The sequence below is a fragment of the Homo sapiens genome, chromosome 15 (genome assembly GCF_000001405.40).
Source record: "Homo sapiens chromosome 15, GRCh38.p14 Primary Assembly".
NCBI classification, from domain to species: Eukaryota; Metazoa; Chordata; class Mammalia; order Primates; family Hominidae; genus Homo; species Homo sapiens.
This window is the reverse complement of record NC_000015.10, coordinates 48,763,619-48,790,509: the sequence shown is the minus strand read 5'-3', so window position 1 is coordinate 48,790,509 and position 26,891 is coordinate 48,763,619. Positions and strand designations below refer to the sequence as shown.

Genomic DNA, 26,891 nt, shown 5'->3' with positions numbered 1-26,891 from the left:
GGTTTAATGAAAGAGTTTAAACAGTGTTGTCTCATGTCTGGCTTCTCCTCATCCTTCAGGTCTTAGCTAAAAACAATTACCTTTTCAGAGGACTTGCTATTCACTTTATATGTAAGGTAGCCCATAGCTCCATCCTCCAACTCACCTTCATCATGCCATATTCTATTACTCTATAACTATCTGAAATGATCTCATTTGTTTACTTGTTATTTATTGTCTCTTCCCACTAGAAAGTAGTAAGAGCTTAGACCTTTTCTGTTTGGTCATTATGTCCTTAGTGCTTAGAACCCTGCCTGGCACAAATGATCTGTGTCATTCAGTGGATGGATCTCTTAGCCATGAAAGCAGTATTGGAATAAATAGGCAATCTCTGGAATAGAATGAAGAATAATTCTCTTGAAATTTTAATTTTTGTATGTAATGTAGATTATTTTTAACTTTTTGAAAACCAATAGTTATTAGATTAAAAAGTTAAGTTGCCTTTATGTAGTAAAAGGTTATAACTTTGTAATCTTTTTTATGTAAGCAGCAGAATCACCAAGTGTATTAGTTTCCTATTGCTGCTGTAACAGATGACCACAAATTCAGTGGTTTAAAACAATACAAATTTATCTCACAGTTCTGGAGGTCAGAAGTCTGACATGGATCTCACTAGGCTAAAATCAGGGTGTCAACAAGGCTGCATTGCTTTCCGGAGGCTTTAGGGGAGAATCCATTTTCTTGCTATTTCCAACTTCTAGAGGCCACCTGTGTTCCTTAGCTTGTGGCCCATTTCCATCTTCAAAGCCAGCAATGAATGGCTGATTGAGTCTCTCTGGTTCTGACTTTTCTGCCTTAGTTTTTCTCATTTATGGACCCTGTGGTTACATTGGGCCCACCTGGATAATCCAGGCTACTCACCTTATTTTAAGGCAATCTAATTAGCCATATTAATTCCACATACAATCTTAATTTTCCCTTGCCATGTAATATAACTGATTCACAGGTTTTGGGGATTAGGACACGGTCATTTTGGAGGGCTATGATTTTGCCTACAATACCAACTGTGCAGTTACAGCTTTGAAAACTTTGTTTTTAGTAAGTGACCATTGGCAGGTTTCATCAGTCTTTCAAGGAACAGTTGTCATTTTTCTGTGACCTAACAATTGGGTTACCCCACACTTTGGTCATAGAGCAATGCAAACAGCACTGGGGCCATCACGGCATCAGCAGATTCCGTGCCTGATAGCCACATCCATCATGCTGCGCAAAATCCTCTTTCACTCCCCTCAGGTATCTACCAAATGTATTTTCTCAGGGAACATTGTTTCCAACAACTATGGGCCTGGAGGGTCCCAGCTAGGGTTGTTTTAAGGAGCTTGAGCCATGATGAGCGGAGACCCCTTCTCTACTCTCATTAAAACATGCTTGAGTTTTATTTTATAGTAAAAGTAAAAGTTTATAGACAGCACAGAGCTAAAATACTCTGTGTATATTTTAAACATGGATATCCTGTGTGTATTTACTAGATGATCAAGAAGTCCAGAACAACTGAAATGGCTCTGGAAAGCTTGAAGCAGCAGCTGGTGGACCTTCATCATTCTGAATCACTTCAACGAGCTAGAGAACAGCATGAGAGCATTGTTATGGGCCTCACAAAGAAGTACGAAGAGCAAGTATTGTCCTTACAAAAGAATTTGGATGCCACAGTCACCGCACTTAAAGAACAGGTTGGGATGATTTCAAATGAGCAACTGTTATCAACAAGTAAAGCTGGTTATGTTTTGTAACTGATATTTTATGGTTCATCATATAGAAGTCTTGGATGTTTGTAGTAAATGTTAGATTGTGTGTGAGGTGAGTGAAACTTAAAAGCCAGTGATATTGGCTGGACGCAATGGCTCACGCCTGTAATCCCAGTACTTTGGGAGGCCAAGGCAGGCGGATCACCTGAGGTCAGGAGTTCAAGATCAGCCTGGCCAACTTGGTGAAACCCCGTCTCTACTATAAATACAAAAAAAAAAAAAAAATTAGCCGGGCGCAGTGGTGCGTGCCTGTAATCCCAGCTACTCGGGAGGCTGAGGCAGGAGAATTGCTTGAACCCGGGAGGCAGAGGTTGCCGTGAGCTGAGATCGCACCACTGCACTCCACCCTGGGCGACAGAGCGAGACTCCGTCTCCCCAAAAAAAAAAAAAAAAAAAAAAGAAGCCAGTGATATTTTAATCTGAGAATACATCCTAAAGGTATACTTTTGGAAACCCTACTTCTTATACGATTATTAGTACTTTCTCAACTTTCACATTACTTGTCCTTTATTTGTAGGGTATTTGTGTATGTTGTTTATATGGTCCTAGAATAAATCCAGACCAAAACAAATGAGTCTGCCAGCGGCTGGCTAGAACTTGAGAGGTTACCTTGGAAGCTTAACCAGTAGAAAACCTTACTTGAGTCTCCCAGCATTTGGTAATTCACCTGTCAATACAGCAATACAGTCTGTTGAGAAATGATTCTTGGGAAGAGAGTAAATTTTGAGGACAGTATAATTTATAAAATAAGACAGTCTGATCTAGACTTAATGAGATTTGCATCTTGAGCATATTGCACAGTGAATTTTTATTATTTTCACTCAAGGGGGAATAAAATATTGAAAGCTAAATGTGAGTCAGGTGGTGAGTTTGCTTGTGCTCCATAACTCTAGGTAATCACTTGAGTGAATAACATTTCAGAATTTATTTTTCTTAATGTAATTTCAAAATTGATTTAACTTAAGGGAAGGAGAGAAGAAAAATCAGATGTGAGGGTATGGAAAATTTCACCACACTTAAAATTCATGCTGATTTGGGTTATTTCTGACCTATATAGCTGCCTCTAATTTTTCCATGCTTTTAGGTAGAACTATATAAGAGTGCATTACTGGCAATAATTATTTATCATTTTATTTTATTTTTACATGTATTTATGTGTGTTTTTATTATATCTATTTCATTATGTATTTATTTTATATAAAAAAATTGTGAATTTGATCAATGTGGAGGATATATAGGAGTAGGGAAAGATGAAGGCCAGTTACGGTGGCTCATGCCTGTAATCCCAGCACTTCGGGAGGTTGAGGCAGGTGGATCACTTGAGCCCATGAGTTCAAGACTAGCCTGGGCAAAATAGTGAATCCTTGTCTTTACGAAGAAAAAATAACAAATTAGCTGGGCATGGTGGCATGCGCCTGTAGTCCCAGCTACTTGGGAGGCTGAGGTGGGAGGATTGCTTGAGCTCAGGAGGTCGAGGCTGCAGTGAGCCATGATTGCACCACTGCATTCCAGCCTGGGTAACAGAGTGAGACTCTTTTTCCAGAAAAAAAAAAAAAAAAAAACGAAGGCTATACCAAATTATTGAAAAGTCTACTTTATAGAATATTTAAACAGAATTTGAGATGTAGCTTCATAAATTTTTATTTTATTTTATTTTAAAGTTAGTTTTGGCCAAACATAGGGTAACATTGAAGTTAGTTGGACTTGGACAGTAGCCCTTCTTGGATGACTGGAGAAGAGTGGATCCTGGTGGCTTTTCCTTATTGGGTTGGGGGTCTCCATTCTCTGTTGACTTAAACACAGTTTCATTAGGGATGGATTGGAAGGAATTTCTAGTGTTTTCTACCCCTGTGCCCACTGCATTACTCTGTTGTCCACTGCCCCACCCCCTTCAATAGAAGAACTCTACAGTAAAGTCAGAACAAATTCTTGATTCTGTGCTGGGTGGGTTTCAGACCCCGGAATCCATAAATTGAAGGTGTTAAGGTCTTTTCCCACTGTTACGTTCTTTGCCTATTTTTACTTTGTTTTATTATTATTTTTTTTAACAGAGCATGGCACTGATGTTAGGCTCTGCATATAATTGCATAGCTGCTTTGCAAAGTGGTGATTCCAAAGCGCCTAACAGAAGCCCAGACCTCGGCATCATGCCACATATCCATGTAACACACCTATACACATATCCCCTGAATCTAAAATTAAAAACAAAATGTCTGTAATTAGTATATTTTGAGAAATTTATGGATTGTAAAATTATTAGTGTTTTTCTTAAGACAGCAGCTTTTCTGGGTAGAAAAGATTGTATGCACTCACAACATATTATAATAGTTCTTTTTTTTTGGCTGATTTTCCCTTGAATTTGTTTAGTGAGACAGAAAAGGTGAAAGAAATGGGCTTCTTGGAGCTCATAGTGTTCCTCCAATGTCATAATTCTCTCCTAGTAAACTATCGCCTGGACTCTCTCCACCAAACTGACTTTTACCTCCTCCCATTCATGGAAGTGTCATGTTAAGATCTCTGATTATCTCCTTGTTGGTATATTACTTTTTTCCTTCTGTCTCCTTGAAAACTTCAGCTTTTGGTGAAGTCATGGACTTTGGTTTCTATGTCATAACCTTTTACCTTTTCTTTAATGTTATATTTAAAGGCTCCACTTTGAACACTTTCTGTTGGCTTAGAGACTCCCACAGACTTCTCTGTGTGTGGTCCAGTCCTCATTTTCCTGTGTGCTAGAACCCTGTCCAGTTCTTTTTCCCTCCCACAGATTCAGCTGTCATCTCTATCATCTCTCTCTCTCTCTCTCTCTTTTTTTTTTTTTTTGAGATGGAGTCTCGCCCTGTTGCCCAGGCTGGAGTTCAGCCGTCATCTCTTTATCATTACACTTGTCTCAGTCTTGAAAAATGTCTGCCCATATCAGACTTGAACTACTCAAGCTAATCATGGCAAACATTGAGCTACTCAATCTTTTTTGATTTTTGGTATTAAAACTTTAAACTTTAAAGTTTTATGAGTATGATCTGTTTTCCTGAACTTGTCAATAGGATACACCATAGTTTAATTGATTTTTACATAAAATCAAATTATTGGCAGAGTCTGCCTTTTCTTTACAATTTTTTTATACCTACCTTTTCTTTAACTTTGTTTGCTAGTTCCCAGTCCCTTGTTAACACTATTGTGACCTCCCCAGAATATAAATATTAGCTGTCTCCCCACCCCTTCTTGCTGTCATTACTGTCATGCTGTCATTAATATGAGCTCATTCATTGTTTTTGCCACGTTACTTTGGCGCTTTAGAACCAGGTTTCTCAAGCTGGCCTGGAATTCGCAGCAGTGTGCCAGGAGGTTTGCAGTGCTGAATAAACATGGACTAGTTTCCAGAAGCTTCATTTTGCTCAAAAATTTAGTAGAAAAAATTTAAAGCAAACACAGCTTCATTATGAAATAGAATACAAAATTCACATGGATTTTTAAGCTAAAATGGGAGACTTCAGAGTCTCTTTGCTTCAAGGTAGTTATGTATTGGTGCTCTTATGGGATGTACCTTGTGTTAGTATCCTTAAGGTATTATTGGGCTTTAGGTTATACTACAGATCAGGCAGCAAAAGCCTAAGGCCTTTTCTCTACTTCAAAGCCCTTTCTCAGTATTCTTCTTATTTCTTATTTTCTTTAGGTTTTCTTGGGTAATTTCAGTTAATCAACTTAACTCATTCCTCTGCCTCTCCCATGCTCTGCCATTTGCCTGGAATTCAGCCTGTGTAGCCTTTTTTGAAAGAAAGGTGATGATTTCGACAGTGTGTTTGTTCTACCTGGACTCAGGACTCCCGTGGTTTATTACACCCAAACATATTTTCTTTTGGAAGAAACTTGAGTATATTGCATACACACTCTATATTTTATGTAATCCCATATAGTTACACACATGCACATACACATTTACCCTATTTTTCTTTGTCATTTATTTTTCAAGTGTTTCTTACAGCACTTGATATGTCTAAGGCACTGCAGAAGCACCTTCAAGGGGGCTATTAAGAGAAATAAGACATCTAAAAGGTGGAGAAAGATAAGAAAGAAACAGATCAAGTTTAAAAGAATTTCAGAGGAGGGAAAGATTATTTTTTGGCTGCTCTTAATGGAATGAACTTTTGGCTGCTTAGAATACAGTGAGTTTTCATGTGTTTATCTATATCCTTACTGTTTTGGGATACAAATAGCATGATTCAAAGTAGTCTGCCTAAATATATATACATACACTTATACTGACAATATAAAATACGCATAGGAATGTAATACATTTTCTTTGGCTTGAATAAAATCTAATTTTTGAATAACTCATTGTCTTGTGAATATAGAGTTGAAGGAGACTTTAGAAGGCACCTAATTCAACCTTTATTAGCATAATTACAAAAGAAGAAACAGACTGAAGAGTTGAAGCTTCACCCAAGCTCTTGACTCCCAGTTCTGTGCACTTTACCTTGTAAAAGAGGTGATGCTCCCATGTGATGATCTTGTGTTTGACATCAAATCTAATTATGTATCATAATTTTTAGTTTACTCTTTATTAAAACTCTTTATGAAAATGACTTCCTGAACTTTTTTTCTATTTAGGAAGACATTTGCTCTCGTCTGAAAGATCACGTGAAACAACTGGAAAGGAATCAAGAAGCAATCAAGTTAGAAAAGACTGAGATCATTAATAAGTTGACAAGAAGTCTAGAGGAGAGTCAAAAGCAGTGTGCCCACTTGTTGCAGTCCGGTAGGTGTCTGGTAGGTCCACTGTCTCCCCAGAAGGTTGGTTCAATATGCAGAAAGAATGTAGTAGGATCCATGACTTGTAAAAATCCAGAAGGGACAGAAAACACAATCAGCAATAAATTTCTTTAAAAAAAAGAAATATATATTTTTATATATATACAGAAGGCATATATATATATATACATATATATATATATACATACACACATATATAAAAAAATATATAAAGGTTTAGTTTGTTTTTATTAAATAATTTGGAAGCTGGAGACCAGTATAAAGTACCAAATAAAAATAACCGTAATTCTACTACTGAGATAATTATTGTTAGCATTTGAATGTATTTCCTTCAAATGAAATGAATGTACACACATAGACAATGTCCTGCTTCTTTATGTAATGCATTTCTGAAAACATACTAAAGCTGAACATGCAAAAATTGAACAATAAAATACATTATAGGGTAATTTCTATCCCTGAAAACTAAAAGTGATTATAAAATCCCATTATATTTTGCTTTTTTAGGCCCAATATTTGATCATATAGTTCTATCCTTTGTATAACTTCTTTCATATTTTTCCCCTCATAATGGAATAGTGACTTACCTAGTCAGTTGAGGCCAGAGAGTTACATTTTTGTCATGCTTCAGATTTCTAATATGGTCTTTATAGTATTAAGTTTGAGACATATGCTTCCTATCATTTTAGTTTCAGCAGTTGTTTTATTTCTTATTAATTTTTATAAAATGATATTAGAGCAAAGAACAATAAAATGATCACGTTTGTACAAACACCGCTATATAGACAAAACTTCCCTGTTTGCTGGTAAGTAGCTCACATTGTGAAAACAGGTCAACAGTTATTCATTAACTGATATATGAAAGTCACACTTTGGCATATGAAAGGTAATTTAGACTGTTGGTACAATATGTGAAAGGGTGGGCTATTCAAAAGCTGAAAATACTAAAGTCAAAGACTGCCTAAATGTATGTGTATATATGTCTTGATAGGGGGCAAAATTTGGATTATGCTTTATTAAGGGCCCCTCCCTGTTTAGTTTTATAGCCTTTGTTTTCATTTGGCATTACTTGGTGAGCCTTTTTCCTGGCTGTTAAATGCTTTGAAAATATTATTTTCTTTATGCCATCATTGCTTCACTTAATCATTTCCCAGATGGTCATTTTCTTTTGAAACCTAATAATGTCCCTTTTAAATTGGGAACAGTCCCCCCACCACCTTGCCCAGTACATTTAAAATATTAGGTTTCTAAAGTTTCAGAATTATAACCCTAATACACTTCATTTACATGTGGAGGTGGGGATGCTGGATAGAAAAGCATCTACAAAGAAGTTAAAGGCAGCACGGTATAGTTTTCTTATTGCAGGGTAGAAATGGGTTCCAAAGAATTTTTTCTTTGACTTACCATGAGTTGGAGTGTTACGCTCCTATTAAAGGACTTCCGGAATGTTAAGGTCTGTAAATGTGACTGATTTGATTCATAAAAAGGTCATAGTAGCCCATGCCTTTAACTGCCCAAGGTCATATGGGATGCCATACTAAATCTGGGAAATGTCTGGCCCAGACCTATGCCTTCTGGGTCCCATGGGCTCTATGTATTCTAAAGAGACAGTAGTAGTAAAGCAGAACTTTACTTTCTGTAGCCTCAGTGGATTCAAGTCTTCTGTAGATCATAAGCACTTTGTCCCCTTAATTTTTTCAGTATATCCTATGGTTCTTTCCTCTGCAGGGTCAGTACAAGAGGTGGCTCAGCTACAGTTCCAGCTGCAGCAAGCACAGAAGGCACATGCTATGAGTGCAAACATGAACAAGGCTTTGCAAGTGAGTGTTGCCACTTGGAAGAGGCTCTATGGGTATCTGAATTAGGCAGTAGTTACATCACCTTTTTGAATCTTGGGTTTCTCTGTATAATAGAGGTGGTTGGACCACCTTCAAACCAGCCCATGGGAGTTGTTCACCATCTCCTTCACACAGTTGGCAAGTCAAACTCAGGTCTGTCTAATTGCAGAGCCAAGGCCCTGCACTTCCTGCCAGCTTGCCTGCCACCTCCTTCAAGTGGCATGTCCTTTCATCTTTGGGTGTATCCCAGAGATCAGTTCATCTATGGGGGTGGGGAATGTTGAATTTTGCTGCAATTCTGTCATATCCTCCTCCAGTGCTATTTACATTTTCCACTGGAGGGGGAGGAAAATATGGGAGAAGAGTTCCATTATTACCTCCACCTTTTCACCACCGGCAGGCTAAAGTACAACCTGTTCTTGGCAAACCAGCGTACTTTGTCCTGTACTCTAGTAAGCCAGAAAGCGCCGCCATCAGCATTTAAGCCCAAGGAACACACCACTTTCCATGGAGGACAAAATCTAAGAGACAGAGATGTGAGAGGAAATCCTTATGTTTGTTTTCTCATTCATTTATTCATTTAGGCTTTACTTGAAAACCTGATATATGCCGACCTTTATAAAGTATAATGTGTACTAATAATATATTTGAAGAAGTTTTTTTGCCTCCTGTTGATCATTAAAACAAATTTTGAAACAGAATGACTGATTACTTCATATAGGAAAATAGTGAAAATTATTTTTAATAATTTTGTGTTGTAGGAAGAATTAACAGAACTAAAAGATGAAATTTCTCTCTATGAATCTGCTGCAAAACTAGGAATACATCCAAGTGACTCAGAAGGAGAATTAAATATAGAACTCACTGAATCGTATGTGGATTTGGGTATTAAAAAGGTCAACTGGAAAAAATCCAAAGTTACCAGGTATGGAAAGAATATTTTAGTTTACTGTAGAAGAACCAACATTAGTAATGCTGATGATGCATGGTATCTGTTTTAAGGTGAGAGCGTATTATTTTCATATGTTAACACTGTGTATTGAATGCAGATACCTTGCATTTATCAGTGATAGTATAAAAAATATACATTAATTTTTCCTAGAAACCTTACTATGACCTTACTTTTAAAGTAGAGATTCTGTCTTTTATATTACTGCTTAATACAGATATTTTAGCAATCTCATAGTAGGAAGTATTTTATCACTCCTGCTAGAGACTGACTAGGGAGGGAGTAGTGGTGGTTGTAGAAGGAGAATTAAACACTTAAAGGACTTCAGAAGCACTTGCTGCGTGGAAGGTGCTATACAAGGCTCTGGGAATAGAGTACAAAAGATGAGATAGGAACTGTCCTTCCCACAGGGAGCTTACGTGTTTTCTGGTCAGGGAGAAAGAAACATTGTTGGAAACAACTAAGTGCTATGCATTCAATGTTATGTTTGATGTATAGAGGTGGGATTTACACATTTCCTGTACTGGTTTTGGATAGGGAAGAGAGAGATACGGTGTTTGGAAAAGATTGTATTTAGGTTAAGAAAAGATTTTTGGATGCGTTTGGCCCTTACCACCACCCTTTTGTTTATAGTTTAAGATGGAGTTCGTCATCATTGTTGAATTGTAGTTTCCAGAGAGTGTTTAATACATGTTGTATTTCAGGTATTACACAACTAAATACAAATATATAAATGTCCTGAAAAGTTTGCTCTACGATAGGTTTTAGAAGTTACATATTTTGAGACTGTGATCTCATTTTAAGAACAGTAAGATGAGATTCAGTAAGTAGAAATATAAAGTGATCAGGTGATACTGTGAAAGTAGATGGTATTATTCTAGTTTAGTAAGGCTCCATTTATCTAGAGGTCTGTCTTCAGGGACTCTCATCCCTACAAATCACAGCACTGCTATCCAGAAGGAAGCAAAGAAGAAAATATCAGAACTGGATTATATGATGTATTTAGTAGGAGCCACCTTCAAGTTCTTATCCCAGGACCATATTGACTTAGATTTATTTGTACTCCATGAATTGTCTCATTTCCTAACCAACTGCAGAGGGCTAGGGCAAGGGTTGGGAAAGACAGTATCCATCCTTCGGCCAGCAGCTCAGCCTTAGCAAGGAGAAAACTATGGAAACCCAACAGGCTAGAGTTGCTGAGTATCACAGCAAATAGCTCTACACATTTACGTGTGTTTGATCCACATCAAAATGTCCACAGTTATGATCCCAAGTTGTCAAAGAAAGGCTTCCAGTTTGGTTAGTAAATTAAAGCAAAAAACGAAGTGCATTATATCTTTTTTAGACAGATTTACATAAAATGTTAATATAGTCACCTGGAAAATTCACTGCTGTGAATGCCTCATTTCCTGCTAATGCCAGATTAATTCTAAGGGGCTACTGGGAAGAGCGTGGGCTTTAGATCCAGATTGTTTTGAATAATAGTTTTGCCATTTTATTACCAGCTTTGTGAGCTTGGGCAAATTTCTTAGCTTTTCTGAGCCTGTTTTCTTATCAAGCTTAAAATCCCTTGGAGGTTAAACTGAGGAATAAAATAATGAATATAAAAGGCCTTATGTAACACGTTCTAACATATATTAGGCATCATTTGATAAATGATGGCTGTTACTATTGTTATACAGTAGATGGTTGATTAAAACATATCACTGATCAGATTTTATATTAAGTCACATGAATTTTGTATTAATTCAACACATACTTTGTAAATGTTCTTGATTCTCAACCTTGTGAAAAATATCAAATCCAATATCAACATGTGAGAGTTGGAAAAACCAGAGTGAACTCCTTTGCTTAGTAAGGCAGACAATTAGTAGCAGAACCAGTACTTGAACCCAGACTCCTGAGAAAGGCTCGGTTGTCTGTCTGTTCATATTTACATGTCAGTTAAACCTTTTTGCCTTAAACTCCTTTCTTCATGTCTTTTATTTTTGAGGATTAAAGATGTAGTTCATGACAAAAAAGATTTTTCTCCAATTTGTGATTACTTTTAGTTTCTGCTCTAGTTGGTCTGGGAATTGGATAAATAATACATTATGTATGTTTATCTTTTCAAATAGTTACTTCTTCATGATGTCTATTAAAACATATTCTGCTACCTTTACACTTTCTATTTACTTAGTGCTCATAGCCAAAATCCTGTATTCATCTTTTTTTTTTTTTTTGAGATGGAGTTTTGCTTTTGTTGCCCAGACCGGAGTGCAATGGCATGATCTCGGCTCACTGCAACCTCCACCTCCCAGGTTTAAGCAATTCTCCTGCCTCAGCCTCCTGAGTAGCCGGGAATACAGGCATGTGCCACCATGCCCAGCTAATTTTGTATTTTTAGTAGAGACGGGGTTTCTCCATGTTGGTCAGGCTGGTCTTGAACTCCCGACTTCAGGTGATCCTCCCACCTCGGCCTCCCAAAGTGCTGGGATTACAGGCTTCAGCCACCGCGCCCGGCCTCCTGTACTCATCTTAAAGCACATTCCTATAGATAATAAACCTGAGACACCGCATCATTATTATAGTAAAAGGAATGATGGACGCATTCAGTGGGAAAGTGAAGAATAAAGCACAGTGTGATTAGTCACTGAGGCTCGGCAAAAAGACATCCAGTGAAGCACAAGATAAGCGAAGAAACGTTTTGCTTGTAGTCATCCCACCCACCAGCAGTTTATTAGATGATATTTTGGCTTCGTGGAAAACTAAAAGCTATTATACTCAGATCAAATTCAAAGGAGATAAAGGAGAGAAGATATTTGTCTCTTTCCCCTGGTCTACTGTGATTCCTAGAATAAGGGGAAGCAATAATTTTCATGTGTTGGGAATTTTAGTTCTTTGTTGACTTGGGCTGCTTTCAAATCACTGACTCAAATATTGGTGGCTACAAGCTTTTATTACCAACTACCTCCTCCCTCAAGCTACTGCCTAGTAAATTTTAAGGGTTTAGCCTCAATGTTCTATTTTACATTCATGGAATTTGAGTAGCTAAATCTGCATGCAGCTTGCAGACAGCTTCCTCTCTCCCTTATTATAGTTGGCTGCTAAGCTCAAATAATAAACATTTAACAAGTGGAATGCCTTTTCCCTTTGGTCTTCTCAGCAGGCTTCATAAGGGACTACAGTTTATTTGGATTTAGGAGAACTGACTTCCATGGGACTCAGTAGTGAGCCTTTTTCAGGATTGGTCACTACCACTGATTTTTTTCCCCTTTGAGGAAAGAAGAGAAAATTATTTTAGCAAGCACTTTCTCTCTCTGACTTGGCTCCCTCTAGGAGTACAGGATGTGCTATTTCAGTGGTCAGCATTCAGTAAGAAAAGAAATTGGGGATGCATAATTTGTTAACCGAGCAAAATAATCATTCTGCTTAAGGTTAGTTCACCATGTCTTATGGCACAGGAAGTTATATTGTAAAATATTTTATATTTCTTGTAATTTATATTTTCTACTTCAATGGAAATAGAAGTGGTTTAAATGAGATCTATGTATATAGACAGACTACTTACAAAATATATATATATATTACATATACAAATTTGCATTTTGTATTGCAAAAGCTCCTTTTATAACATTAAAAAGCCTACCTAATAGTTTGTTCATTTTCTCTGTCTCGCACACCCATACACACAGACACACACACACACACACACACACACACACAATATTCTAAGATTTTATTTGGAATCATCTAAAACTGAAGAACAGTAAACATTTTAACTCAGGTAGTATTTTTGTTTCTAATAAAGGTTTTTTAAAAATATATTTTTGGAACAGTTTTTAATTTACAGAAAAATTTGTATTACGCAGAGTTCCTATATACGATATGCTGCACCCATTTTTCCCTACTAATACCTTATGTTAGTATGGTACATTTGTTACAATTAATGAGCCAATATTGGTATATTATTATTAATTAACATCCAGGGTTTATTTACATGCCCTTGGTTTTTATTTAACATACTTTTTCTGTTCTGGGATCCCAACCAGGCTACCCCATTACATTTAGGGGTCATGTTTCCTTAGATTTCTCTTGACTTTACTTGTTTTTGATGACCTTGACAGTCGTAAGGAATACTGGCCAAGTATTTTGTAGGAAGCTTGTCTATTGGAATATGACGTTTTTCTTATGATTACGTTTTTCTCATGGGTTTTGTGGAGAAAGACCACAGAGACTTTCATCACCTCATCTTAAGGGCAGATACTGTCAACTGTTTATTTCTTTTCAAAAGTAACTTAATCCTCCATTATGAAAAAATTAGAAAATACAGACTAAAAAAGAAGAAAATAGAAGTCACCAATAATCTCACCTTACTTCCCATGAAGAAAACCACTTTTATATTTCAGTATAAAACTTCCACATCACCTGTTTTGTATGTTTCTAAAAGATAAAATAATATTGATAATATTTCTTTATAATGTCATTTTACTAGTATATTCTGAAATCTTTGAATATTAGTGAATATTTTTATAGATTACTTTTAGTGACTATGTAGATGAATGAACCAGTTTAGCTACTAAATCGCTGTTTAAAAGTTTTACTTATAAATAATGCAATATCATTGTTATAAGCATCCTTGTAGTCAAGTCTTTATTCACATCTTTGATTACTTCCTAAAGAAGTAGAATAATTGTCTTGCTAGAGGGTGTGCACTTATTTGAGGGCTTTGATGCATATTACTAAACAGCCCTAAAGTTTACATTATTACCCACGTCCTGAGGCTGTCCCTATTTCTTGGTAACCTAGCCAGTATTGAGAGTTATCACTTTTCCTGTTTATAATTTTTATATAGTTAGATCTGTCACTGTTTTCATTTATGGTTTCTTGATATTTAAAAATAAGGTATTTCTCTAGTACTTTCTATAGTTTTATTTTGCTTTTTAAATCTTTCAAATTATGAAATATACCATATAAAAAACATGGAACATAAATATATAGCTTAATGAATTATTTGAAAGTGAATATTCGTAGGACCACCACCCAGGTCAAGAAGTAAATATTGCCACGAGCTGCCCATATTCTTTCTTATTGTAACCTTGAGGCTAACTACTATCTTATCTATTAGGGCAATCATTTTCTGTTTTTTTTTTCCCTTAGCTTTTTAATACCCAGTTATTCACACCTAAGCACTACAGATTATTAGATTTGCCTTCATATGAAGGAAACTCATACGTTAGGTGTTTGGGTTTTCTTTTCTTTTTTTTTTTACTGTTTTATTGAGATATTATTTCACATACCATAAAAGACACCCACTTAAAGAATACAGCTCAGTGGTTTTCCGTATATTCACAGAACTGTGCAGTCATCACCACACCTAATTTTACAGCATTTCAACATCCCCCCAAAGAAACTCCATGCCTATTACCAGTCATTCCCATTACCTCTTCCTGCCTCCACAGCTCCAGACAACTAATCTACTAATCTACTTCCTGTCTCTATGGATTTGACAGCTCTGTGCATTTCATATAAATAGAATCGTATAATATGATCTTCTGTGAATTTTCTTTACCATTTCTTCTCAAGCATGTCTGCTGCTGACAGAGTCTGTTTCCTTTTATGAAAATATCCTTATATTTGTTTATTATACAATTCCTGACCAATTGTTCTTCTATTTCAGCACATTAAAGCTATGTTGGTCCACTCTCTCTGGACTCAATGGTTTCTGTGAAGAAATTCATTGTTATTTGAATTAGTGTTTCTGTCAGTAATGTATAGGTTTTTCTTTTGCTGCTTTAAGAATTTTTTTCTTTATATTTAGTTTTTGGTACTTTGATTATGATATGTTTAAGTGTGTTTTTCTTTAGTTTATCTCATTTTGGGTTCTCTGAGCTTCTTGAATATATAAATTTATTATGTCTTTTACCAAATTTGTGAAAATGTCAGCCATTAATTTCCTTAAATACCTTTTCTGTCTCTGTGTCTTTGTTCTCTCCTTTTGGGTCTCCAGTTACATGTATGTTAGATTTTTTGATATTATACTACAGTTTCTTGAGGCTCTGTTCATTTTTTTCTATAGTTTTTCCCTTTTTATTTTGCATAATTGCTACTGGACTATTTTCAAGTTCACTCCTTTTTTTCTTGTCCTCTATACTCTATTGAGCCTATCTAGTGAAGGTTTTGTGTGTTTTTATTTTAACTTTTGTTTACTTAATAACATTTCTATTTTGTTCTTGTATCACTTTTCTTTCTCTGTTAAGAATTCCTGTTTTTTTTCATTCACTTCAAGTATCTTTTTCTTTACTTCATAAAGCAGAGATATAATAGCTACTTTAAACTTATAAAACTCTTTTAGTGACAGTTCCAGCATTTGGATCATTTGTTGATTGTCTTTTAAGATTTGGCCACATTTTTCTGGTTAGTTGCATGTCAAGTAATTTTAGATTATATACTAGACATTGTGAATTTGTATGAGTGTTTTAAATCTGTTTGGTTCTCCAAGCCTTTGCCACATTGCTTTGAATCCAACCTGTGTATGCATCCCTTCGGGTTTAGTCATTGTGAGACTTGAATGTGTGGTTTAAATTTCAGTTAAGTTTTTAAAATCTTTGATATGCTGGTTTGAGGGTTGCCCTGTACATGCATAGTTCAGGGCTTAGACTGAGGCTTGTACAAATTTATACACAGAATTCAGGATTCCTTTCTCTGGTTCTTTTCTCTCCGGGAGTCTTCCTACACTCTCTTTTTATCACTGGGTTTCAGCAATCTGACATTGGTGTGATGTATGCTGGTTTTCTTTGTGTTTATTCTGCTTGAGATTCACCAAACTTCTGGGTTTTGTGGGGTTTTCATTTTCATCAAATTAGGAAAAATTTGGCCATTATTTTTTCAAATATGTTTTCCATCCCTCTCCTCTTCTGGGAGTTCAGTTACACATGTTGGAAAATGTAATATGTTCTGTGTATTTCTGTTTTAGTCTTTTTTATCTTTGTTTTTAATTATATAGTTTTATTTCTATATCTATGTGTTCACTGATCTTTTCTTCTGCAGTTTTAAATATGCTATTAACCCCATCCAGTATATTTTACATTTCAGATATTATAATTTTTTCTATAAGTTTAATTTGAGTCTTTTCTGTATCTTCCATTTTCCTCCACATATTCATATCTTCCTTAACCTTCTAGAACATATGAAATATATTAATTCTATTGTCTGTGTCATTGATGGGTTAGTTTCTATTGATTGGTTTTTCTCCTGGTATGGTTCATATTTTTTTCCTACTTCTTTCTATGCCTGATAAATTTTGATTGAATGCTAGACATTTTGAATTTTGTTTTGGATGCCAGATATTACTGTATTTTTAAAAATACTGTTGTACTTTTTCTGTGACACACAAGTTACTTGGAATCAGTTTGATCCTTTCAAGGCTTTCTTTATAGGCTTTACTACATCAGGTTTAGAAAAGGCTTTAATCTGGGGCTAATTTTGCCCCACTACTAAGGTATTATTTGATGCCCTTTAAATTAGGAAGTCTTTGCATTATGGCTCATTGAAACATAACATATTCCCAGCCTTATTCATTTCCTATGTTTTTTTCCCTAGCCACTCATACAGAACAGATCTCCAGAGCTCTTTTTCTGTGCAGCTTCTTTTTCCCCAGTATTTCTTCCCTTCATATTCTAGCCACTCTGGACTCCCCAAATTCTGAATTCTTTCTCTGAAACTCAGTGAGATTACTGGGCTCTGTTTGGGTTTCACCTCCCTGTGCTATGGCCTGGACACTCTCCAGGCAGAAAGCTGGGGTAATCTTAGAGCTCACCTTGTTTGCTTTCCTTTTCTCAGGAATCCCTGGCCTGTGCTGCCTGTTGTCTAGTGATTGAAAACTATTATTTTATTTGCTTTATTTGGTTTGCTAGTTTTTTAAGGAGGAAGATAAAGGTTAGTCTTGTTAATTCATTACGGCAAGGAAGCAGATAATCTCTCAATCTTTAAATTTATTGAAACTAAAATTGGGTTTAAATTAGCATGGTTTTATTTTTGTGTTTTTCTAGTTACTCAGATATTCACCCAGACTTGTGTTTTAGTAAGTTGAAAAAAATAACAGAAATTGTTGGTTAGGATGGCTAGTGTTTAGTATTCTTTTCTTCCTTAATATTTATGTTGTTTCTGTTAGAGTCATAAAGGGCATGTATATACAGCATGCAGTTTTCCAATAACACAAATGTAAATTATGTCAAAGTTCACATTTCTAAGCTACTTACAGTGAGCAGCAGGACTAAGCTTGAGAAGGCTCTTCCTGTGAATAAACGTATTTCTGTATATAGAGACATGGCAAAGGTGATAATCCTTGTGTATGACAACATTTAAAATTGTTTTGAAATACTAGTATATAATTGTATAGGTGACAAAACATGTTCACCACTGTGGTCAGTGCTTTTAGGGAATAACCATGTCTGATTTATTACTTGATTTAATGTTAAAAATCACAATTTCTCCATTAGCATTGTACAAGAAGAAGACCCAAATGAAGAGCTTTCAAAAGATGAGTTCATTCTGAAGTTAAAGGCAGAAGTACAGCGTTTGCTGGGTAGCAACTCAATGAAGCGTCATCTGGTGTCTCAGTTACAAAATGACCTCAAAGACTGTCATAAGAAAATTGAAGATCTCCACCAAGTGAAGAAGGATGAAAAAAGCATTGAGGTTGAGGTATGTAAAGCCTATAGAGTTAAAAAACCATTTTTAAAAGGCTCAATAAAGAAAACTTTTACACTTTTTTTTTTTTGAGACAGGGCGTCACTCTGTCTTCCAGGCTGGAGGGCAGTGGTGGAAACATGGCTCCCTGTAGCCTCAACCTCCCAGGCTAAAGCGATGCTCCCACCTCAGCCTCCTGAGTAGCTGGGACCACAGGCGCACGCCACTATGCCTGGCTAATTTTTAAATTTTTTGTAGAGACAGGTTCCCACAATGTTGCCCAGGCTGGTCTCAAACTCCTGGGCTCAAGCAATCCTCCCACCTCAATCTCTCAAGGTGTTGGATTACAGGTGTGACTAACCACATCCAGCCCTTTTACATGTTTTTAAATTAATAAACCTTTGGCTTTCAGGAGTTTATTTGACATTTTTAGAAATAAAGTTTAAAGAAGGAAATGCCATTTTTAAAGGGATACTGACAGTCCCTGACTTAGGATGGTTTGACTTACAATTTTTAGACTTTACAGTGGTGGAAAAGTTATGTGCATTCAGTAGAAACCATATTTCAAGTACCTGTAAAACAGTTCTGTTTTTTACTTTCAGTACAGTGTTCAATAAATTTCATGAGATATTCAACAGTTTATTATAAATGAAGCTTTGCATTAGATGACTTTGCATAACTGTTGGCTATTATAAGTGTTCTGAGCACATTTAAGGTAGGCCAGGCTAAGCTATGGTTTTAATAGGTTAGATGCATTAAATGCATTTTTGACTTAATGATATTTTCAACTTATAATGATTTTATTAGGTGATAAACCCATTGTAAGTTGAAAAGCATCTGTATGTTTTTTCTGGTTACTCTTGGCACCTAGTAAATGAGATACCAATTAGGTAAAATTCCTTTACCATAAATACAAGGAAGTATTCTCTGTAACAAGGAATCTGCATTTCTTTAAGATTGGCTTTTACCAATAGTGCTCTAAAATCTAGTTAAAATAAATCCTCCATAGAAATCCTGTAGTATTTTCTATGAGATTTTCCTGGCCCATGTTCTTACAACAAAAGTCATTCTATATGAGGACATTAATTATATAGTGATGATGGTACAGATATTATATAGTGGTCGTGGTACTATGGGAAAGTACACAAAATCTGGTTTTGTCAGTCATTGAAATCCACCTCTGTATTCTTCAGTTCGGAAAATGAAGCTGGAGCACTTTGTGACACTTTTGAATTTACAGAGCCAATTTCAGACAAATTGAAACTAAACACATGACTAATAAGTAAGTCAAAGATATTTCTGTAAGATCATGCTATCACAGAGATCTTTAGGGCTGCTCTCCTTTATAGATCCTTTTTTTTACCCTTCCATATTTCACAAATCATCAGCCATCTATACTCCCAATAGAAAATAATATATAAAACACCTAATAACTAAGAAAAGCAAAAGAAGAGGGAAAAGGAATGTGGGTAGTATACTCCTTTTCCTCCTGGGTGGAGATAATTGTTTACTTCCTTCTTTAGTACTGTTTTATCTCCTATTTAAACTAGGAGTTGTGTTCATTAGAACAGTTCTGCTAAAGTATGTATAATATTCTGTGCTAATTATTGTGGAATTTTGATTGTGGTTAATTTTTATATTTTGGAAAAACAGTGTTTTTGCTATCAAAATCTTTTCCAGCCTGATTCCCTCTTCTGAGTAACTACATTTGATGACTAAAACATAGATTTTAATATTAACAGCAAATGAGAGAGACTCCTCCCCGCCCTGCCCCCTGCACATTTAACATCTTTAAATCAAGCTGTTTTCATTGTTGCCCTACATTTCTTTAAAAGGATGGGAATGAAAGCTTGTTTCTCAATTTGCATTAAGACATTAGAGTTTATTAGTTTAAGCATTTTGGTGGGAGTGCTCTAGGATTTAGGATACTAGAAACCTGATTTTGAGTCTGAACCTTAGCTCAGATATCTTGGTGCTTTCTTTGTTCTGTATTAAACTTGCTAATGGCATTTGCTATACAGATACACTTTATCATGTGTAGCAGTAGATAGTGGTCATGCATTGTACTGTTTTTTAGCCTTCCCATTTTCCTCTGTAGTCTGGTTGATCAATAGATCAAAGGAATAACTATCTCATCTTTGAGTATTCTTTTTGTCCAGCTACTCTATTGCCATAGTGAATTCTCGGTAGTGTACATCTAAACTCCAATTTTTCTCAAAGTTACTTCAGCTGTGGACTCAAGTGATCTGCCCACCTCCACCTCCCAAAGTGCTCGGATTACAAGGATGAGCCACTGTGTTGTGGCAAAGAGCTCAGAGTCCAGGTACACAACAAGTGAAACGGAGTAGATATATTTTTAAAATCTTTGTAACCCCCATCAATGAATAAAAAGAAAAGTAGATAAGGAAAACTCTCAGAGGAAAATATGCAAAGTTAAATGAACAGATAAATCTGGGAAGGTGGAAAAACAAATGAACAATGAAGGTATATAAGAGGTTCCACTTTGGTGGTGACACAAGAAATACAAATGAAAGCAATTGTTAGATATTCTTTTCCCATCAAAGATAATTATTTAAAGATAATCACTGCCATTGGAGGCAAAGAGAGATGGGCAGACCCATGTACTACCTGACAGTATACATTTGGATGACATTTCTGGAAGGCAATTCGCCAAAGTCTATCATGAGTCTTAAAAATTGTATGTATTGAATAAAATATATGTCCGTGAGTGAATGCTGACATAAATGAATACATACAGAAATAGAATAAATGCTTGATCTTAGTAGGAGAACATATGATGAGAAATAGGATATTTGTATTGTCTCAAAGTATCCTATAAGATACTTATCATTTATTATAAAACAAAAAATAGTAAGTTTACAATGGAGATGACAGATCCCACCTTCAATTGATTATTACCAGTGGTGAGACATAGTGATATCATGTGTCTCCTGCAAAGAGCACATATCAGTTCTTGACATGCATGCCAAAGATGCATAACCTGATTTTAATAAACCTAAAAACTCCAAATTGAGGAACATCCCACAAAATAACGGGTTAGTATTCTTAGAAAACATCATGGGTTTGAAAGACTGAAGAGCTGTCCTAGATTGGAGGAGACTAATGAAACATGACAACTAAATGCCACTCAGAATCATGGATTTGATCTTGGACCAGAAAACAGACATTTGGGGCAAATTGGAGACATTTGTATAAGGTCTGTAGATTACTTGATAGTATTGCATCTGTGTTAATTTACTAGTTTTGATGATTGTGCTGTAGTTATATTGGGGGAAGATGAGTAAAAGCTATATGGAGATTATTTGTACTGTTTGCAATTTTTTTAAAGTATGGAAGTATTTCAAAGTGAAACTTAGAATTTTTTAAAACTTGTAAAACTTTTGACCTTTTAATATTCAGACTAAAACAGATACCTCAGAAAAACCAAAGAATCAATTATGGCCTGAGTCTTCTACTTCTGATGTTGTCAGAGATGATATTCTGCTGCTTAAAAATGAAATTCAAGTTTTACAACAACAAAATCAGGTGATTAAAAATATTTTTTATATTTTATGAGAATTTTTATTTCCTCATTAAATACAAAGGATATAATAGAGTTTTTGCAAATAAAGAGGCAATGTGAGTTAGTAGACAAGTATATTAGCAGGTGATTATGAGTTCCAGTTACTTCCCTTTGCTAGTGAACTGTTGGTTAGTAGTTTCATTGGAAGGTAAGTTAGTGTAGTTCCAGTTCTCTTTCTCTATGGTAGCATGGCTGACAGAGGTATTCTTTCCTCCTTAGCCAGCTCTTGACCCAGAAGTAAAACTTTGCTTATTTAGATGGTTGCTGAAGATTATTGAATTCTGAGACTTATTTTAAGGCATCAGCTAGCCAATACTTCTCTGGTTAAATATTTTCATTTTATATATTTCAAAGTAAATACAAAATTTAAACGTTTAGTCCTGTCAGAAAACTACTTGTCAAATAAATGAATCTATGTTCTTATCAAAGCGTGAAGAGACTTTTTCTTTTGCAGAATTGTAAAAATAATATGTCAAATATTGTTATAGGGGAGAGAGAAAGCATAGAAAATATTAAAAAATAAGACAAAATCAATCAGTGAAAATGATGTTTATTTTCTGTAAGTACTAAGTTTATTCTTTTGTGTCTAGGAACTTAAAGAAACTGAAGGAAAACTGAGAAATACAAATCAAGACTTATGTAATCAAATGAGACAAATGGTACAAGATTTTGACCATGACAAACAAGAAGCTGTGGATAGGTAAGGTCTATATAGATGCCTGACGACTGTCTCCTGGGTACCCTTCCCCTCTAAGTCCCTGCCCTTCCCTGTGACAAAAAGATTCAAAATGATTGAGTGATTTCTACCCTGTTGAGATCTTGGATTGGCAGAGATGAGTCCCTGGCTTCTCAAATTAGAATTTGGAACACATTTTCCATAGAAACAGTGTTATGTAGTGGGTTGGGTTCTATAGTATCATTGAAACTGTAGTTCACTGAAATATTATAGGTTAATATTTTTTTAAAGACTCGTCTGGGAAACTATTCTTTATAAAGAAAAAAGTCTGTGAGAGGGAATATGTCTTCCAAATACCAAATCATAAACTTGGAAACAGACTTCTGGAACATAACTTACTTGTGAGTTGGGGACTGCTAGTATTTGTGTTTAATATAGATGACTTGAAATTTTGGAGCCACACCCTCAATTATTGCCATTAATTTTTTATAAACAGAAGTCCTCAACATAGATTACTATCTCTATTTGAAGGACTGGGGCAGTCTCACATCCAAGTTTCTAATTGTTCTCTAGAAACATTTGAAGAAAGAAAATTTTGAAGATTCTCATAAGATTGTTGGTTATTAATTAATTATTACCACTTTCAGTTGGGGAAAAGTTATCTGACCTCAATTATAATTTGCATTAGAGGGAAGAGGTGAGGAGGAAGGAAGGAAACCAATTCATTTTGGTGTTCGTAGTGAGACTGGGCATTGCCTTTGATTCCGCTCTGTTTCCAGGTGTGAAAGGACTTATCAGCAGCACCATGAAGCCATGAAAACTCAAATACGTGAAAGCCTATTAGCAAAGCATGCTTTGGAGAAGCAGCAGCTCTTTGAGGCTTATGAGAGAACTCATTTGCAACTGAGGTGAGAATAAAGAGTTTAGCTGCCTTTTAAGCTGTAGAGACTACATTCCCCTATTCCATAATTTAGAGGAAAATTGTTTGTTATGCAGCTCTTGTATTTTTTTGTGGTTAAATCATTTAGTTGCTGGTTTTGTGTATCCAAGGTCTGAGTTGGATAAGTTGAATAAGGAGGTGACTGCTGTGCAGGAATGTTACCTAGAAGTGTGCAGAGAGAAGGATAATCTAGAATTGACTCTCAGGAAGACCACTGAAAAGGAGCAACAGACTCAGGAGAAGGTACAGTACAAGTTTATGTTGTATCGACATCCTTTCACTCTTCAAGCCTCAGTATTATCATTTAAACGAATACATTTGTTCTAGAGAAGTGAATGGAGAAGGTATTCATATGTTCTCTTTACTTTTGGCTGTATCACACTCATATAGCTCACAAATAAAATACAGTAATTACTGAAATGATTATTAAAACCTTAATGTACAATGGCATATAGATAGGAGAAAGTGATTTTTTTTTTCTTGCAGATTTATTCTAAAGGGCAAAAAAAAAAAAAGGATCAGTGTCACTTTAAATCTGAAAATCACAGATCCTCATTTTCGGTGTTGACTGTTCAGGAAACCCTATGTAGTCCTGTGAGCGCTGCACGGAGCATTCGTTCAGAGCCCTTTTTCTCGGATCCATTTCTTTCTCACTACCTCATTGTCATTTTATTCTTCTGGGGAGAAGAGTAGGAATTTGAATGTTGGTCTCGTGATAGGGAAAGTGATGATATGGAGGATATGGACAGCAAGGTCAGCATCTTCGTATGACCTCCTTCAGGGAAGCTGGAGGGGCTAGAGTAGATTCTCCAACTCTGCCTGATTCTTCTGAGTCACTCTTGGTGAGTGTCCAGGAGTAAAATCACATGTAAACAGTCACACCTCCTCTTTTCTTCCCTGTCCTGGCCCAGTGCCTTAACAGGCCTGACTGTCCTTCACACTTTGGACCAGCGGCAAACCACAGTTTGAAAGCTATCTGCCTCAAGATTAGAAAATATTTTTAAATGCTTAAATAAATGTTCTATACAGAGGTTTTTGAATAAGTTATGTTAAAGCAAGCTATTACTACCACACACTTAAAAAGAATAGTAAAGAGCAGGCGAGGAATTCAGTTCATTCAATATCTTGATTATTGTTGAATAGATTAATATGGTGAAAAATGTGCCATGTATACATATCATCTAGTGGAAAAAGAACTTCTAAAGGGAGCTGTTTTAGGTAGGGATGGCAGTATAAAAGTGAGAAAGGATCTTATATTACCTTGAAATTGAGGACTTAGCTTTCAGTAATGTTTTAAAAATTAAAATAGGGAAATCACTAGTGTGATTCTTTTATATGTATAAAAATTGGCGGCCGGGCACAGTGGCTCACGCCTGTAATCCCAGCACTTTGGGAGGCCGAGACGGGCGGATCACGAGGTCAGGAGATCGAGACCATCCTGGCTAACACGGTGAAACCCCGTCTCTACTAAAAATACAAAAATTAGCCGGGCATGGTTGTGCGCGCCTGTAGTCCCAGCTACACGGGAGGCTGAGGCAGGAGAATGGCGTGAACCCGGGAGGCGGAGCTTGCAGTGAGTCGAGATTGCGCCACTGCACTCCAGCCTGGGCGACAGAGCGAAACTCCGTCTCTCAAAAAAAAAAAAAAAAAAAAAAAAAAAAAAAAATTGGCAAGAACATAAGAGGAATTTTCTCAAAGAGGTCATTCCAGGAATATTTTCTGATACTTTTAATAGAATCAATTTGACTATAAAATATGATCTCATATAATGGGTCAGTTACAATTAGTATCTGCTATTGACTGATATTTTGGCTCATGAGTGTTTGTACACAAGTCCAAGAAGAAAAGTTAAACTGCTATTTGATCCTTCAAAAAAAAACCAAACTTAGAGGTTAAATTTTTCACGTGTATCCCAAAACTTAAAGTATAATTAAAAAAAAATTTTAATTGTTATACAGTAAAATTGACTTCCTCCCACCACTGGGCGTATAGTTCTATAAACCTTTAACACGTTTATAGTTTTGTCAGGATACAGAACAGTTTTATCACCCTAAAACGCTCCCTTTTGCTATCTTTTTGTGGTTACACTCCTCCTCCAAACCCACCCCTCACTTAAAGGGCCAGTGTACTTAAAGCATTAGAAGTTTAATTTCTTCCCTCTCTGGGAATTCATTAGTTTTTTACTATAGAATTATATAAGCCCTTAGTAGTATAAGCCAGTCAGAACTGAAACATCTTTATATTTAGGAGACTGTCTAATCTTCTCACATTTTTCAGAGGTAGGCAAAAATACACCTTTTTTTTTTTTTTAAAGGAAATGTTTCACATACATGGGAGAATGTTACTAAACTCTAGAACAAGTGAGGGCACTTCTGGGGTAGCTCTTCCATGCAGGACATAAGCCATTTTACTGCAGCTTAGCTTTAGGTAGGGAATTTAACCTGGATACAGAATATATGAGTCAGGTAACAATAAGAGTTAAAGGGTGTTTTTTTATGTTTCATGCATTGTTTTCTGAAACACTTGCTGAGTCAGGTTGCAGGTTAAATAGGAGCTCAATTCCAAGTTTTAAAGCTTTTAGTAGCACACAGAACTTTCCTCACATGTTAACCTGGCTCATTGAGAGAAAGGGGGAAAAAATCATATACACGGAATCCTTCAGGTTGGGTAGTAATCAGTGAAGCCTATGAATTTGCAGACAAGGCAAAGATGGTCAACATTCCCATTCCTGATGCCATTTCTATGCACATTAAGGCTTATTTATACAATTGTAATATGAGTTAGGTAGGTGCATTTTAGAAGTTAGAGGGATTTTTTTTGCTATCCAAGACACGCACAACAAGTTCATGTTTTAACTTGGAGACTGTTAGTGTTGTAGAGAGATGTTTATTTGAATTTTGTTTAAAGAGACAGCTATTGGAGGAAAGAGAAGAATATGTAAGCAAACTGCAGGTGGAACTTGAAAAAAAGTACCAAGATACACTTATGATGGAAAAGAGCAAGTGGCTGAAAGATCAAGAAACTGATATTAAACAGCAAGTTGAAAGTGAAGTGATCTTAGCCAAAGCACATTGGGATAAGGAAGAGCAAGAGGTGTGGATTAAAATTTCTTTCTGGTCACCACATTTTTAAAATGTGGTACTAACTTTAGAAGACAATTCTTCTTGAACCAGATACGTAATTTTTATTTGCCAGGCACTTACATAATCATCCATTTTACCTTTTGGAATTGAGCTATTAGCAGTTACCACACCAGTTTTATTTTTAGGAATTTAGCCACCTCTTGACTTTTCGACCCAACTCAGGATATAACAAGTTTTTTGGGCACTTCTTTGATTCCTCAAAATGAAACCATGATCTGATTTCATATTGTGGAATGATTATAACTCTAGACTAATATTTATAACTAACAAATAAGCCATATCATGGATTAGAAACAAAGAAGTAATGGGCAGTCTCAGAAGCCCATAATTTGTTACCTCTATTACTTAAATAGCAAATGAGATTAGGAAATGCTAATAGTTCCCTAGCAAGTTAGGGAACAAAGTATGATCCTAAAAGCTTATTTAGAAATGAAAACAAAAAAGAATTCTCAAGCTTATTTAAACTAAATTTTTTTTTTCCTTTTTTGAGACGGAGCCTCGCTCTGTCTCCAGGCTGGAGTGCAGTGGTGTGATCTCGGCT

General features: G+C 35.8%; 1 protein-coding gene across 15 annotated transcripts in view; it reads left to right on the top strand.

Moving 5' to 3' along the window:
• The window catches only part of CEP152 (centrosomal protein 152), an 81,987-nt gene that overhangs the window by 20,560 nt on the left and 34,536 nt on the right, over positions 1–26,891 (top strand). For 12 of the 15 annotated variants that reach the window (XR_931769.4, XM_047432254.1, XM_047432253.1 and 9 more), the window contains exons 9-17: positions 1,509–1,709; positions 6,390–6,537; positions 8,280–8,371; positions 9,151–9,314; positions 17,819–18,023; positions 21,429–21,554; positions 22,182–22,291; positions 23,047–23,175; positions 23,318–23,450. Coding sequence is in view for 14 of the 15 variants with exons in the window: in XM_047432254.1 (XP_047288210.1) it covers positions 1,509–1,709; positions 6,390–6,537; positions 8,280–8,371; positions 9,151–9,314; positions 17,819–18,023; positions 21,429–21,554; positions 22,182–22,291; positions 23,047–23,175; positions 23,318–23,450 (1,308 nt within the window). In the remaining variant the exon portion in view is untranslated. Of the gene's footprint in view, positions 1–1,508; positions 1,710–6,389; positions 6,538–8,279; positions 8,372–9,150; positions 9,315–17,818; positions 18,024–19,220; positions 19,291–20,337; positions 21,226–21,428; positions 21,555–22,181; positions 22,292–23,046; positions 23,176–23,317; positions 23,451–26,114; positions 26,626–26,891 lie in introns of those variants that run through there. The other 3 variants (XM_017022016.3, XM_017022015.2, XM_011521381.3) reach the window with 3 other exon arrangements.